Source organism: Homo sapiens, chromosome 7, assembly GCF_000001405.40.
Source record: "Homo sapiens chromosome 7, GRCh38.p14 Primary Assembly".
NCBI lineage: Eukaryota > Metazoa > Chordata > Mammalia > Primates > Hominidae > Homo > Homo sapiens.
In genome coordinates this window covers 130,740,845-130,758,060 of record NC_000007.14, presented here as the reverse complement: position 1 = coordinate 130,758,060, position 17,216 = coordinate 130,740,845, and the positions used below count along the sequence as shown (strand labels likewise).

At 39.0% G+C, this 17,216-nt stretch overlaps 1 long non-coding RNA gene across 5 annotated transcripts in view; it reads right to left on the bottom strand.

Moving 5' to 3' along the window:
- Positions 1-17,216, bottom strand: part of LOC105375508 (uncharacterized) — a 119,688-nt gene that overhangs the window by 95,891 nt on the left and 6,581 nt on the right. The window contains exon 4 of one of the 5 annotated variants that reach the window (XR_001744984.2): positions 12,041-16,798. The exons of the other annotated variants lie outside the window; for them this stretch is intronic. This is a non-coding gene — a long non-coding RNA (uncharacterized LOC105375508). Of the gene's footprint in view, positions 1-12,040; positions 16,799-17,216 lie in introns of those variants that run through there. 5 annotated transcript variants of the gene reach the window in all.

Here is a 17,216-nt window from a genome sequence, read left to right as displayed (position 1 = left end):
TTTACAAGGGATAGTTACGATTTAGAGAATAACAGCCTATTCCTGATGAGACTTGGGAGCCAGACACGTCAAATTAAGGGGAAGAGGTATCTCCAGAAGAACGTGGAACTGGGATTTGCTTCATTTTTTTTTTTTTTAAGTTGGGGGCATCTGTTACTTGCAGAGCTCTGTGTTGTAAGGGCTGGAATACACGTATAGTTTAGAAAAAAAAAAAAAGACCAGGCCAGGCGCAGTGGCTCATGCCTATAATCCCAGCACTCCGGGAGGCCGAGGCAGGCAGATCACAGGGTCAGGAGTTTGAGACCAGCCTGACCAACATGGTAAAACCCCATCTCCACTAAAAATACAAAAAAAAAAAAAAAAAAAAAAAAACTAGCTGGGCATGGTGGTGCACGCCTGTAACCCCAGCTACTCAGGAGGCTCAGGCAGGAGAATCGCTTGAACCACAGAGGTGGAGGTTGCTGTGAGCCGAGATCACGCCATTGCACTCCAGCCTGGGTGACAGAGCGAGACTCCGTCTCAAAAAAGAAAAGAAAAGAGAAGAGAAGTAAAAGACCAGTGGCAACAGTAGTTAGTAGGTCTCCAGCACTGTCCACCAGGGGCCTGGTGGCTACCAGAGCTCAAATCCCAGTTCCATTACCTACTAATTTGTGTGAGCTCAAACAACTTACTCAACCTGTCAATGTGTCTGATGCCCCGGTGCAAAATGGGGAGGACAATCAGAACCTACTGCATCAGACTCTCACGAGGAGTAAATGAAATAACGTGAAAAGTTCTCAGAATAGTACCTGTATGTGGTAAATGCTCAAAATATTCACTATTACTCATAAACTCATTCAACCAATTACACAGAAAGACTTTAACAAACAGTGCCTGGCACAGAATAGGCACTATGAGTGTGGCCTGTTATTATTATATGGGAGAGAGAAGGGCCCCGGATACTCCCTAAGTTTCTTGATCCCCTTGAAAGATGTATTCCCATCCCACGTGCATGGTCATCAGGCTATCCCACAGCTTCCTAACACCAGCTACTATGATTATGCCTGCAACAACCTTTATTCTGATTCCAGATTCAGTAAATAACCTTTTGTTAGTAAGTTAGCATCCTATGTAAGCATTTTGCTAAGAAGAAATGTACTGGCAAACTGATACTAATATCACCAATATGGCAGTCTTTATTAGTTAAGGATAGAAAATACGATCACATTTCCATTAACGTTCAATTTGGAGGGACTTTAAGCCCCTTCCTGACCAAATTAGTAGGAATTAAGACTTTCCAGTGATTCTTTTCCCACGAATATTATGAAGGAAATAAAGTTCATTCAATTAAATCAACAAATATTTATTAAGCACTTGCTGTGTGCCTGACACCGTTCAAAGCATTATAGTTAAAGCAGTGAACAAAACAGATCCCTGCTTTCATAGGGCTAGCATTCTAGTGAAGGAGACAAATGAGAAATAAGGGGTGGGTTAAATAATATCAGAGCTAGAGAGTACTAAGTAGCAAGAAGAGAAAGCAACAAGTGAAAGGATCTATAAGAAGAAAGGGGTAAGGGTGATGCAATCTTAGGTAGAGAAGCCAGGGATATCAGGAGATAAGGGTGGCATCCATTTGTTTGAGAGCCAGTTAACTCCGTGGCTCATCTGCTATAACAAGTTGGGAGAGCCAGCTTCAAATGTTCCCCAATCCAGGTCAATCCCCACAACTGTTTGTTCACCCCATACCTCCCCTCCTGCTGAACTAAGGGGCATCCAGGGCTACTCCACCACTGCCAGGACTGCCTCTCTCACATGCAATCCTGCAAATCCACAGCCCCAGCCTCCTCTGCTACCACTCCCTCTGACAAAGACCACAGAGGCCAGTGGGGCCCAACTTCCAGGCCCTCCACAGGACAAGAGCAGCTCTTCCTACCCCAGAACCTCTTTGGCCTCCTCATACCTCCAAGTTGGGCCCAGCAATCACAGAACATCCCTCCCTCTTTCCTTTTCAACCATAGAATTAGCCACCTCCTATAATGACAGGAAGAAAGGGCTTCCTGGCCTAAATAGGCAATCCCCAAATAAAATAGCCCAACTTTGATCAATTTCCTAAGGTCTGGGTATCCATCCCAGTCTCAAGGACCTTGTTACAAGAGTATTCTGTTCCAGGGGTTAGCCAATGTTTTCTGTAAGGCGCCAAAGAATAAATATTTCAAGATTTCAAGCCATATGGGTTTTCTGTTGTAGATTCTTCTTTTTGTTTTGCAACCCATTAAAACTGCTTTAAAAATGTTCTTAGCTCATGGGCTGTACAAAAACAGCCTGCAGACCACAGTTTGACAACCCCCATTCTAATCCATTTGTTTGTTGATTACATTAAAATTAATAAATTGTTGAGGCCAGGTGAGGTGGCTCATGCCTGTAATCTCAGCACTCTGGGAGGCTGAGGCAGGAAGATCCCTTGAGCCCAGGTGTTTGAGGCTGCAGTGAGCTATGATGGCACCACTGCACTCCAGCTGTGGCAACAGAATAAGACCCTGACTCTAAATAATAAGTTGTTATGGTTTATAAATCAGTGTTCTGTTGGTTTATTCAGCATTCACAAGATACAATGACCTGCTCCATCAGATGACGTGTCACTTTGTAAGAACTGGTACATAGTAGGCACTGATTTGTTGCAGAGTGAGATGTACTTTTTGAACAGCAGGCTTGCTGTTGCTCTTGGTTACTCTTCAAGAGAGAATTGTCTTGAGAAGACCTAGATAGACTGCTTTGAATATGGAGGGTGACACCCCATGGCATGGCTGGAAAGGAGACAGTACAGAGAGAGAGTCACGCTGCTCTGCAGGACTCATCCATGAGCAGAGGAAAGTTGGGGAAATTCGTAGGTGGGAATGGAGGGGAAATGGGGGGGACCACATATGAGGTGACTGAGGCCCATGAGGGAAGGTGAAAAGAAGCACAGTCCTGTGGCAGAGCGGCCAAAGACTTTTTAAGTAAAATCAATGAGACTGTCGAACATTGCCTTTGAAGTTATCTGCACTGCTGAAATACAAACCCCTTCTCGATCCCAAACCTCTAGTCTGTGGCTTTTTCTTTTTCTTTACAAGCAAGGCTACTGGAGCTAACTTCAGAACGGCAGGATTTATTGGAAAATATGCAGCAAATCAAAGAATTAAAGGAACTATTGAAAAGCAAGGATCAGAAATGTGGTGCTGGCGACCCAGCTGGTCTGCAGCTCTTGAGGTCAGTGGGCAGCTGCCCACTCCAGACTCAGAGTGCAACTTCCCAGGTCCTTGCCCTAGAGTTGACAGGACACCTTACCAGCCCCCTGGATCCACTTCCACTGGGGAGGGGCAGCTTCCCAAAGCTGACTGGGGTTCTATGACCAGGAAGTGGGGGGCTATTGGACAGGCAAAACGATGTCTGCCACATCCCTTGTGAGTGGCATTGGGGGAATAAGGAAAGGGCCAAATTCCACTTTCTGGGCATGTGCAGTAGAAAGAAGGGAACAGGCATAGAAGGTGAGAGGTCAGTGAGACAGGGACTCAGAACCCAAGGTAATGCTGAGAAATGAGTCCCTTGAAGGTCGCATACATCCTAGGGAGTCACTGGAATTTTCCCAGGATGCTGGAAGGGGCTTGAACAAATTTTATCTAAAATCTCGATTCTATATTATTTCCTTTACCCCATTCCTCAATCTGTGGCTTTACTGAATCTGTAAGATGAAGGACCAGACCCAATGTATTGAAAGAGGGACAGCACCTCTGAGGTCATTGCCTGAGCAGCCAGACAGCCATTCCCATTTAAATGTTAACAGTTGTCTAACAACCCTTGAATGGGGAAGTTCTTCAATACAGTGAGGATCTTTTGAGATCCTTCATTCACTAACTTAACTTTCTTTACCTGTCCATAGGGATTCTAAGCAGGTAGTTCTCAAGTGTGGTCTCCAGACCCGCAACAACAACATCAAGCTGGGACCATGTCAAAAATGCTAATACTGGCCGGGTGCGGTGGCTCATCCCCGTAATCCCAGCACTTTGGGAGGCCGAGGTTGGGGCATCACCTGAGGTCAGAAGTTCAAGACCAGCCCGGCCAACATGGTGAAACCCCATCTCTACTAAAAATACAAAAATTAGCCAGGCGTGGTGGTGGGTGCTTATAATTCCAGCTACTCAGGAGGCTGAGGCACAAGAATTGCTTGAACCTTGGAGACAGAGATTGTAGTGAGTCAAGATCGTCCCACTGTACTTCAGCCTGGGCAACAGGACAAGACTCCATCTCCAAAAAAAAAAAAAAAAAAAAAAAAGGAAAGAAAAGAAAAGAAAAAGCTAACTCTAAGGTCCCACCCCAGACCTACCCGGTCAGAAATCTGGGGTGGGAGATTGGCAGGGAGACAAGCCATCAGGATTTTAACACGCCCTATAGATGCTTCTGGTGCAGGCTCAGCTTTAAGAACCACCGTTCTAGGGGGTTTGCCCTAAGTCACAGATAGTAAAGGGCAAGAGAAGATTTCCAGTCTGCATATCCTTTCTGTCTCATAGAAATCTACTGAAATTTAGTAAAGTTTCCTCCCTTTACACACTAAGTAGTAACATTTCATTCCAATTAACCCTGCATCTGTGTCCCAGAGTAACAGATTCCTACTGTAGTTTTGGCACTAGTCTTCCCCCAATTATTTCCCCTGAGATGTTATTGTCAGTGTCCAATCTATTCCTCAACTACTCTTGTCAGTAACTTAAATTCCCCTGTCCCTACTGGTACCAGTCTAGGATACATTTTAAATTCCAGTGTTCCAAGGTAATTCAGAGAAGGACAGAGATTAATGTGGCTCACCAAACCTAGGAACATTTTCTGGCCTCGTGATGGCACCCAGCATCAGAGAAGAGGCAATGTACTACCTCAAGCTTAGCTGCAGGGAGAACATGTTGACCACGGCTTATATAAATCAAGACCCCCTTCTTCCATAGCAGTATTTTCTCAATTTTCTCTTAATTTATTCCCTTCTCAGCACCACAACAACCCAATCCCCATGAGATGCTATGAAGATGTTATCAGGGGAGACAGAAAGCCTTCAATAGGAGCTCCAGGATCAATGCAGATATCTGTCCCCAGGGGATCATCTTGTTCTCATTGGATTTGGCCACCTTGCAACACACAGCACCTTCCCCTGATCACCTAAATGCTTCCAACACAATCTATGGCCTCCTAATGTCTCGACACCTCCCATGGGATATCCCACAACATCAATAATGGAACCAAATACAGAAATCACATAAACCTTACGGGAAGAGTGATAGCTCACAATGGTACACACTAGACTCAGGAAAAAGGATTATGAGCTATTACCAGGCAGTCCTGTTACGGAGCCAAGAGATATAGGAAGTGAGAAGGCTGGAAAACAAAGGGGAAAAGACATAGCAGCTAAAGCTGGTCTGAAGGCAGAGCTGTCCAGCCACCAGGCTGAACACCCATTATTATGTCCTCACACGTGACCGAGTGTTGTTTCAGGACTGCTTCGCTATGTCTGTCCTCCCTCCGCATGGCACCCTGATACTGTGAGCCTTCCAGTCGTTTTTCTTTTTAATAAAATGTTAAAACGAAATTGAGATCATGTCATACTTACAGTATACAACCTTGTTTTTGCTTTATAGTTTGTAACATTTGCAGGTCATTATATGTTTTCTACATTAGCAATTTCCTGGCTGTGTAGAGGTTCACTGTAAATAAATAGGTATCATAATATAATTCACCAGTTCCCTATTTGGAAGCATTTATATTGACTGTATTGCCTTCATAGTACATTATATCACTTATTCATATAAAAATAATTATATTTGTTCCATTTGATATTCTCATCCTGAATTCTATTTCATGTGATTTTAATATTAGCATGCATGGATGGGTTCTTTGGGTTGCATTTGCCTCTGATATTCTTGCCCATCTCATTACTTTTCTACCTTCTCTGTCAATTTCATTTTGCAGTTTCTCCTTTTGTAAACAGCTTACGACTAAATTGTATTTTTTTTACTCAATCTGAGTCTTTTGTGTTTTGAAAGATATTTTTAAGCCACATCTGTCATGACAAAAGTTATACTTGGTGTTTGTTCTGTCACTTTATTTTATGGTTTCTATTTGTAATACTTCCTGTTTCTTATTTCTTTTTTTACTGTAGTAATCAAATTTATTCTTTCTTCTCATTCATGATTTGGGAATTATATACCTTTTTGTTTTCTACTTGGGCTTAGTTAATTTAAAGTGTATAAATATGTTTGAATTATGCCTCTTTATTTCACTAACTTAAAAGCTTAGTAAAATACCAAGATATTTGTTAAGCAAAATAAAACAAAACATAAACACATTTGCATTTTTAAAGTTCCAGTAAGACCAAATTTTGTTGAGTTAAATGTGTACCTTTCCTTCATGATCCCCTACTTTAAGAACCACTGCCTGAGCTTTGATGTGTATCTACCCAGACCTTCTATGTGTGTGTATGTGTGTGTGCATGTAGATTTGTAATTTTTTTTAAATAGGACAATATGCATGTTTTCTTATTTGCTTTTTTCACTTAATAATGCATTTCATTATAAATAAATTTACACAGTACTCTATCAGTACTCACATATGTGTCATCCATCCTGTCACAGCAGCCCACCCTACGGACTCACTTCATTTATGTAACCATTCCTCTGCTGATAGATGTTTAATTTGGTCCCTATTTTTGACTACTATGATGTTCTAATAAAAAATCTTTTATATATATATTTGTGCACCTATGTGAGTATTTTATAGTATTAATACCTAGAAGTGAAATTGCTGAGTCAAAAAGTATGCACGTTTGGGTTTTTGATAGCTACTACCAAATTATCTTTCAAAAAGTTGTACAGATGTATACACTCCCAAAAACTCTACGGGACTGTTGCCTCACACCCTTCCTGGTGTTGGGTTTTAACAATCTTTAAAAGCTTTGCCTATCTGATGGTTGAAAATGATATTGTATCATTGCTTTCATTCACAGCTCACTGATGGAAAGTGAGGTTGTGAATCTCTTCCGAGCTACTGACTCTTTGGTTTCTGTGAACTCCCTATACTTACCCTGTACCTCATGTACTTTGCCCACTTGTCTTTTATAGTATTTACCTTTTTACATGTTAATTTGTAGGCACCCTTTGCATTATGGATGTTAGTCCTTTGTCTGTAATATTTGCTGAATATATATATTCACAAGCCGATGGCCTAATTTTTTGTTTAGGGTGACTTTTGTCCTATAAAAGTTTAATATTTTGTAGTCATCAGATCTGTAAGTCTTTTCCTTCACAGCGTCTGAGTTTTCACACCTTCCTATCCTACTGTGCAATTACCAAGATAGTCTACATTTTTTCACAGTAATTTTTAAATTCACATTTTGAAATTCATAAACAGCAAAATTCTCTCTTTGTGTACCACTCTATGAGTTTTTAACAAATTTATACAGTCATGTAAGCACCCCCTCAAACAAGATACTGAACAGTTCTGTAACCCTCCAAAATCATTCCTGCCCTTCCTCCCACAGCCAGCCTGTGGCAACGACGGATCTGTTTTTAAGGGATTCCTCATACAAATGGAACCATAAAGTAGGTAGCCTTTATCTGACTTTTTCTCCTGGCATAATGCAGATGAAGTCCATCCACACTGCTGTGTGTCTCACAGTCTGCCCCTTTTCATTGCTGATTATCATTCCATTGCATGAAGTGCCAGTGCGTTGGTCCGTTCACCAGCAGAACAACATCTGGGTTGTTTCTGGTTTTTGATTTTGGGCAATTATGAATAAAACCATCATGAACAGTCACATAAAGGTTTCTGGGTGAATATAAGTTTTCAGCTCTCTTGGCTAACTACCTAGGAGAGGGATTACTGGATCATGTGGTAAATGTGTGTTTAACTTTATAAGCTGGCCTACACATTAGAAATAGAACACCACATACAAATGGCGGAAGCCAGTGGCTAGAGATAAGACCTTGGAGGCATCTCTCCCGTCTAGCACACTGGGCTTTAGGGCTCCAGAGTTTGAGAGTTCCAGATGCTCTGTATTGTCTGGTTTAAAAAGAACATTTAAAAAATTCTAAAAGGGCCGGGTGCGGTGGCTCACGCTGGTAATCCCAGCACTTTGGGAGGCTGAGGCGGGCAGATCACAAGGTCAGGAGTTCGAGACCAGCCTGGCCAATATGGTGAGACCCCCGTCTCTACTAAAAATACAAAAATTAGCCGGGTGTGGTGGTGCATGACTGTAGTCCCAGCTACTCGGGAAGCTGAGGCAGAAGAATTGCTTGAACCCAGGAGGCGGAGGCTACAGTGAGCTGAAATCATGCCACTGCACTCCAGCCTAGGCGACGGAGCGACACTGTCTCAAAAAAACAAAACAAAACAAAAAACCTAAAAGGTGTATAGCGGTGCCTCACTGTGGTTTCAATCTGCATTTCCCTAACTGTTAATAGTGAGCATCTTTTTGTATACTTATTTGCCAGCCCCACATCTTCTTGAGTAAAGTGTTCAAATCTTTTGTCCATTTTAAAAATTGAGTTATTTATTGTTTAATGTTGAACTTTGAAAGTTCTTTATATTTTTTCAATACAAATTCTTTTTCAGGTACATAATTTGCAAATATTTCTTCCAGTCTGTTGCTTGTCTTCTAACTATCTTAGGTGTCTTGCAGAGAAACTTTTAATTTTGATGAAGTCCAATTTCTTTTTTTCTGTTATAGCTTATGCTTTTGATATCAAAATCTAAGAAATCTTGGCCTAACTCTAGAACACAAATCTTTCTTCTTTTTTTTTCCATGGAAGTTTTATAGTTTTGGATTTTTATATTTAGGTCTAAAATCCATTTTGATTATAATTTTGTAGAAGATGGAAGGTATGAATTGAAATTCAGGTTTTATGAACAAATATCCAACTGTTCAAGAACAATCTGCTGAAAAGACTATTCTTTCTCCGTTGAACTGTGTTTGCACCTTTGTCAAAAATCAGTTGGCTAGTTTGATCTATTTCTGAAATCCTCCCTCTGCTCCGTTAATATTTGTGTCCATTTTCCCACCAGTACCACACTGTCCTAATCACTGTAGTTTTATAATAGCTCTTAAAATCAAATAGTATGCATTTCCTAACAACCTATTTTCAAAAGTTTTTTTCCAAAATTGTTTTGATTATTTTAGTTTGTCTTTCCATGTCAATTTAAAATATAATATCTACAAAAGTCACACTCCTACTTGGATTTTGATTACGGCCATTCGAATCTATATGTCAATTTGGGGAGAAATGACATCTACACAGTACTGAGTCTTCCAATCCATGGAAGACTTGCCATTTATTTAGGTATATGCTGTCTTTCATTGGTCTTTTGTAGTTTTAAGTACACAGATAACGAAAATTTTGTTAACTATATATTAAATATTTATCTTTTTGGTGCTAAATGGAACTGGTGTGTGTGGGAAATAATGCTGTTTTTTAATTTTGATTTTTATGTATTCATTGTTAGTATACAGACCTTGTATTTTGAAAACTTACTAAAATGACTTCTTAGTTCTATGAACTTTTGGATAGATGCCTTGGGATTTTCTTAATAGACAATAATATCTGAGAATTGAAGTGAGAGAGTGAACATCCTTAGCTTATTTCCAATCTTAGGTGAAAATCATCCCATTTTTCACTGTTAAGTACAATGTAGGTTTTTCTGTAGATGTCATTTATAAAATTAAGGACATTCCTTTCTACTCCTAATTTTCTAAGAGTTTTTTAATCATGAAGGAATCTTTAATTTTGTTAAATATTTACTCTACATCTATTGAGATTATTCCAGTGCTTTAAATTTGATTTTTATGCTTACCTCCCTAATCCACCTAGAGTTTATTTTTTATACTTGAGAGTGGTTTTTTTTTTTTTTTTTTTTTAATTTTTGTTTTGAGACGGAGTCTTGCTCTGCCGCCCAGGCTGGAGTGCAGTGGCACAATCTTGGCTCACTGCAAGCTCCACCTCCCGGGTTCACACCATTCTCCTGCCTCAGCCTCCTGAGTAGCTGGGACTACAGGCACCCGCCACCACGCCCGGCTAATTTTTTTGTATTTTTAGTAGAGACGGGGTTTCACTGTGTTAGCTAGGATGGTTTCAATCTCCTGACCTCGTGATCCACCCGCCTCGGCCTCTCAAAGTCCTGGGATTACAGGCGTAAGCCACCATGCCCGGCTGTGGGAGTGATTTTTATTTTCCCCAAAATGATTAAGTAACTGTTGAACACTCTTTAATAAATTGTCTATCATTTCCCCCACTCTTTTGAAATGTCACCTTTATCATATACTGAACTCTCACATATAAATGGCTGTTTCTAAATCACCTCTTTCTTCCATCAATTTACTGGTCTATTTCTATGACAATACCACACTGAATCAATTACTAAAGCTTTATGATATGCTTTAATACCTGCTAGAAAAATGTTACTCCTCCTATTTTTTTCTCATCCGGATGAATTATTTTGCCAAATTTTATACAGAAACCTGCTGCTATGTTGAATGAAACAGTCTTAAATTTATAAATGTTTTGTAATAATTGTCTTTTATAGCATTGAGTTTTTCTGTTAAGAAACAGTGTGTTTCTCCATGTATTCAGATCTTTATATGAGAACTTTAATTCAGCTGTATACTTTTCTTCACCAAGATCTTTATAGAGTCACCCTACCAAAATCTTACTAGCTCTCAAGTTTTTCTGACATTTTCCTTGGATTTTTCTAGGTACATGGAAATGTGCATCTGCAAAAAGTTACAGTTTTGTATATTACTTTCCAATATGTATTCACCTTCTTTCTTGGCTTTTTCCCCATTGTTGTACTGAATGGGATGTCTACTTTAATGCTAAGTGGTACTAGTAAAGGCTACCCTTGTATTGTTCCTAATTTTAATGGGAATGTTTCAAGTATTTCATGGTTAAGCATTATGTTTGTTGTAGATTTCCACTGGAAACCCCTTTTCAAATATAAGATGCTTTCTTCTATGACTTCTTTACTAAGATCATTTTTTAAAACGAGGAATGTGTGCTAGATCTTATCAACTGCTTTTTGGGGTGCCTATTATATATTTTCTCTTCAGAGAATACAATGAATTCTATTAATACACTTTCACCATCCAAATACCCTTCTTCTCCTGGAAAAAACTCAACTTGGGCATGATGCACTATTTTTAAAATACACTTCTAGATTTAGAAATTTTGTACTATGTTTGTGAGAATTAGTCTCTTTTTTTTGGATCCTATCTTTATCTGATTTCAGAACTAGGGTATTAAAAAAAAACCTCTTACGAATTGAAAAATTGTTCAATCTGTTTTATGGACTATGACCACTATATAACATGGGAAATACCTGTTTTTAGCTTTGGTAGCTCCAGTTGGCGAAACTACTTGGATCTGGTGTTTTGTTTTGTTTTAAGTATACCTTTAATTATTTTTCCATTTATTTTTATGTAATGGTCCATGGAGCTTTGCTCCTTACTGAACCAACTTTGGTAATTTGTGCATTTATGGATCAAACATTTTATCTTGATTTTAATTATATTTATTTAAAGTTGTACATAGTAATATTTGGCTTTTTCCACATTTCTTGATCCTTATATTAAGCATATCTTCTTTTTTTTCTTAATCTGATTCACCAAGCATTCATCTATTTTATTGGTCTTGCCAAATAAATAGAAAATGGTTTTATTAATGAAGCCCACTTGGGGTTTTTAAAATTTCATTTATTTCTACTATTCTTATTTTGTTTTTTTGAGATGGAATTTCGCACTTGTTGCCCAGGCTGGAGTGCAATGACATGGTCTTGGCTCACTGCAATCTCTGCCTCCCAGGTTTAAGCGATTCTCCTGCCTCAGCCTCCCTAGCAGGGATTACAGGCGCCTGCCACCACACCTCGCTAATTTTTGTATTTTTAGTAGAGACAGGGTTTCACCATGTTGGCCAAGCTGGTCTCAAACTCCTGACCTCAGGTGATCCTCCTCCCTCAGCCTCCCAAAGTGCTGGGATTACAGGCATGAGCCACCATGCCCGGCCAATTTATTTCTACTTTTATTTCTTTGGGCTTATTTTTCCTGTTCTTTAACTCTTGAGTCATAAGCTTAGCTTGTTTATTTTCACAATTTCTGTTTTCTACAAGCACTCAAGGCTGCAAATCTTTCCATTTGTACCACTTTGGCAGTACGCACAAATCTTGGAATGTAGTGTGCTCATTTGTTCATTTCTAAGTAGTTTGTAATTTCAATTTTAATTCTTTTGTAATCCAAGTTAATTAGAAGTGTGCCTTCTCATTTTCAAGAGGATAGTGCTTTTTCTGTTTGTTGTTTTTTACTGTCTTCTTGTTGTTAAATAATAATTTTATGCATGTGGTCACTGTGTAGGTTGTATAATTTCTACTTTATAGAATCTATTGAAATTTTCTTTGTAAATATTCCACGTACATTTAAACTGAGTATATAAAGTTTCTCATAATGTTATTAGAATCTTCTTTATCCTTATTTTTTTTCTACTTGAAATGTTAATTTGGTTTGCTTTGTTAACATTTTCATAATACATCTGCTTTTGTTGTTCAATTTTAAATTCCTGGGTCATTTGTTTTAGATAAACAGCATATAGCTTTTTAGGGTTTTGAATTTTCTACCCTCCCTTCTCTATTTTTTAAACTCAGTCTGAGGGGCTGTATCTTTTCATTTGGTTGGTTAATTCACTTTGTGATTACTGACACTTTGGACTAACTCCTGCATCTTATTTTGTGTTTTCTATTTACCATAATTTGTTATTGTTTCTCCTTTTCTCCTCTTGCTTTTCTTGAACTGATGACATTTTCCTTATTTAATGTTTTCTTTTAATGGCTAGGAAATTAGGTATCTTATTTCAATTTTTCCAGTGGTTACTCTTTCATTTTGTAGCACATATTTAAAATTATTTGATAAAATCAACATCTTCAATTACTCAACATGACTAGCTTCTCTCTGAACAAGTCAGGAACCTTTTCACGCCTCTAGTTTTTTCCTTTGCCCTCTTGCTACCTCCCATGTAAAGACCATTAGGGATTTTAATTCCAGAATGTCAGATGGTTGTTATTTCTCTCTTTCCCTCCCTCCCTCTCTCTCTCCCCTCTACCCCCAATCAATGATTATTTTAAATTATGCTGTGTTTTGTCACTAGGTTCCCTGTCCCTTGTGCCTTCCTCTTTGATTCATTTTTTCTTTCCAGAATATGATGTTTAGTTATTGTTCCGGAGAGGGTGCTTGAGTGGTATATTTCCTGAACCTGAAAACTTCTGAAAGTGTTTTCATTTTGCTCTCACACTGAATGATGGGTTCACCTGGGTATAGAATTCTAAGTTCAAAATAATTTTCCCTCAGAACCTTGAAAGCCTGGCTCCACTGCATCCACATGGCTGGAGAGGAGTGTCCCTCCTAATGGCCAAGATGCCCCCTGCTCGCCTTTATTCTGGAAGGCAGAATAAAGGGGGAGTCCAGCCAGACATTCCAAGGGCTGCATCCCCAGTCCACTCACTTATTTGGCAGGTATGTTTTGTGTGTCTAATATTCTGGCTCTGTTCTGCGATTTAAAAAAAAAAATTTCACACACACAGAAAAGTACAGAGAATAATATGGCAAACAGCACTGTACCTAGGCTCATATTGACAAATCTCATTTACCTAATTTGCTTCAGATTTTTTAAAAAATAAACAAATAACAAAAGAATCTGTTGAAACTCCATTCCCTTTCCTCCCGTACCAGAGACACTTACTGCTCTAAATTTGGTATTTATCACACCTGCTAATGTATTCTACTTTTAATGTATGGGTGTATTATGGACATATATGAATAATATGTGGATAACAATACATAATAATGAATACAGTGCTTACTACACGCCTACGTGTGGTCTAATCATATTACATGTATTAACTAATTAGTACAACCCAAATAAAGTAGGTGCTATTCTCATTCCCTTTTATGAATGAAGCAAAGTAACTCAATCAAGGTCATGTAGTTGGTGAGTGATGGAAGCCGAATGTGGCAGTCTGGCTGCAGAGTCTGTACTATTAACAATTATAACGTGTTGATATAGTAATTATGATCATGTATTTACGTTGTGTAAAAGATATCATATTTGACACAGTCTTCTAAAATCTTAGATTTTTTTCATTCTATTTACTAAGCAGAAAGCATTATCCATGATCTAACTAGTTTTGGTCTATCTATCTAATCTAATCTAATCTATACATCTATCTATCTATTTATTTAGAGATGAGGTCTTGCCGTGTCGCCAGGCTGGAGTGCAGTGGCACCACCATAGCTCACTGTAACCTCGAACTCTTGGGCTCAAGTATCCCAAGTAATTGGAATTACAGGCTCAGGCTGCCACACCTGGCTATGATATTTATTTTTATTTTTTTAAGAGACAGGCCTTTGATATGTCGCCTCACTGCTTATTTTTACTACTGTGTAGTATTGCCTTACATTTTAATGAATAAGTTACTTCAAAAATTTGCAGCAAATGGTGCTCTGAACGTATTTGTAGAAGTCTCCTAGGGTCAAGTACAAAAATTTCTCTATGGCATATAACTAAGGTATAAAAGTTCTAAGTTACAGGGTATGTATGAACACCATCATCTTGACAGGTTATCATGAAACTGTTGCGCCAATTTCTATTCCCTTCATGGGAAAGGAGAGGGTCCTATGTCTCATGCTGAGATTTGAATCTGGCTTGTTAGACTCCAAAGTCACCACACATACTGCTGAACTATTGAGCTATCATACTGCAGAATCTTAACACCACCCACTTTTTTTTCTGTCTCATATAAACATCTCAGTTGGACCTTTGCTCTCAGTCTCATTATATAAAAATATTTTCCAATTATTTGCTATGTGCCTTTACCTTCTATGTGCCCACAACACTACAGGCACTGAAAAAGTGTTTGAAATTCACCAAAGAAAAGCTCATCTGTTTTTCATAAGGTCACATATAGTTCATTTAGACTTGTAAATTAACATGAGCGTGAATGTCACAGGAAAGAAGTTCAGCGGATCTAACAGAAGCCTGACAGCTAAGAACATAGAGGTTTTATCAAGAATGGAAATTGAACTTAAAAAAATTAGATATTAAATGATTAGATTTCCTAAAATATAAATCTTTGTTTTTATAGTTTGACACAAAACAATCGGTTTTAAGTATATTTAGATAACATCTTGTGATCATTATAATAAAAAACTATTAAACAAATAATTATACATGGCATTTTGAAAAACTCTACTAAGAGTTAGAATTCCTGTTCTCCAGAAACATACGTATAAAAACACATAGCTTTAAAAAATCCCTTTTATCCTGTTGCCCAGTCAGGGATGTAGCTGGACTTCATTGAACTATAAAAACATCAGACTATCCTGGCTACTCAGGAGGCTGAGGCAGGAGGATTGCTTGAGCCCAGGAGCTGAAGACCAGCCTGGGCAACATGGTGAGACTCTGTCTCAAAAAAAAAAAAAAAAAAAAAAAAGCATCTGACTCAGATCCAAGAGCCAACTCAGCTTCCCTATCTCCAAGTGTCCAAAAGCAAACTCCCAATTTCCACCTCCTATATCCTGCTTCTTCTAAAGCCATCCCCATCTCAAAATAGAAAGTATACTCTTCCAGTTACTGGGCTGAAATCCTTGCAGTCATTCGTGAATCCTCACATTCTCTTATACCCTACGTCCAACACCTTAGCAGATATCCCTCACTCTAGCTCCAAACAACATCCCGGATCTGACCGCACCTCACCACCTTCACTGGTCTAAACCACCATCATCTTTGTCTTGGAATTCTGCAGTGGCATATTAACTGCTCTCCTGCTTCCACTCTTGTTTGCCATTGAGTCTACTAGCCACACAGCAACCAAGGTGAATCAATCCTCCTTAAGACTTCCTATCTCCCTGTCCACATTGTTTACAAGGCCCTACATGACCTGCCTCCCACTCAGCCCAGTCCCTGAACTCATTCTTCCCTTCCTTTAGTCTGCTTCAACCCTGTGCTAGGCAGAATAATAGTTCCCCACAGATGTCCAGATCCTAATACCCAGAACTCAGATGGAATAGAAGTTACTAATTAGCTGATCTTGAGATGGGGAGATTATACTGGATTCAAGTGGGACCAATGCAATCAGAAGGGTTCTTATAAGCAGAAATAAGAAGGTGAAGAGTAGATCGGATTTATGCAAATCAGAGAACAACTCCACCCATCATTGCTGCCTTTACAGAGGGAGGAAGGCAGACAGCTGCTTCTAGAAGCTAGAAAAGGGCAAGGAAACGAATTCTCACCCAGGATCTGCAAAGAATGCAGTCCTGGTGATCTCTTGATTTTAGTCAGTGAGACTGATTTTGGATACTTCTGAACTAAAGAACTGTGAGAAATGGAATTTTTGTGTTTTAGGCCACTAAGTTTATGGTAATTTGTTACAGCAGCTGTAGAAAACCAGTGCAAGCCTCTAAGCTGCCCAGCACCCCACATGCTTCTGCTTCAAAACTTTCACACTTCCTATTTTTCTCTTAGATTTCTGTAAGACTACTCCCTTCAGTTCACCTCATCAGAACGGTCTTGCCTAACCCCTGTACACAAAATATCCCCTTTCAGAACATGCTATCTCACTGCCCCTGTTTTACTGTTCTCCACAGCATCTGTCACTGAATATCTGAAATACTATGAATTTACTTACTTGCTTGTTATCAGGCTCTCTCATTAGGATGTAAGCTCCATGAGGGCAGAAACTGCTTTGTTCACTGCTCTATCACCAGTGCCTAAAACTATGAGAGGTGAAGAACAGTAAATATTTAGTAATATTTAGTAGAATATCCACTAAATATTTGTTAAATCAATGAATGCCTGTGTAAAAGAAAGGATACAGTTTAGATTGTGGGTGTCAGGATTCTCAGAGGAAGAGAAAATGGATGAATGATACATAGGAATTATTCAGGCAAAAAGTGAAGGCAAGAGCAGTTTAGGTTTAAGGAGCAGCATATGCGAAGATTTTACAGTTTGAGCATTCGAGGAATTAGCGTTTTCAAAGGCCAATGTAAGCTGGAATACAGTGAGTGAGTAAGAGGTCAGGTAGAAAGGTAAATAGGAGCCAGATCATTGTCTGCTGTTCTGAATTTGTCTTAACTGTGACAGGAAGGTTTTGATGACTTCACCATGTAGCAACTATACGGGGAAGACACTGGA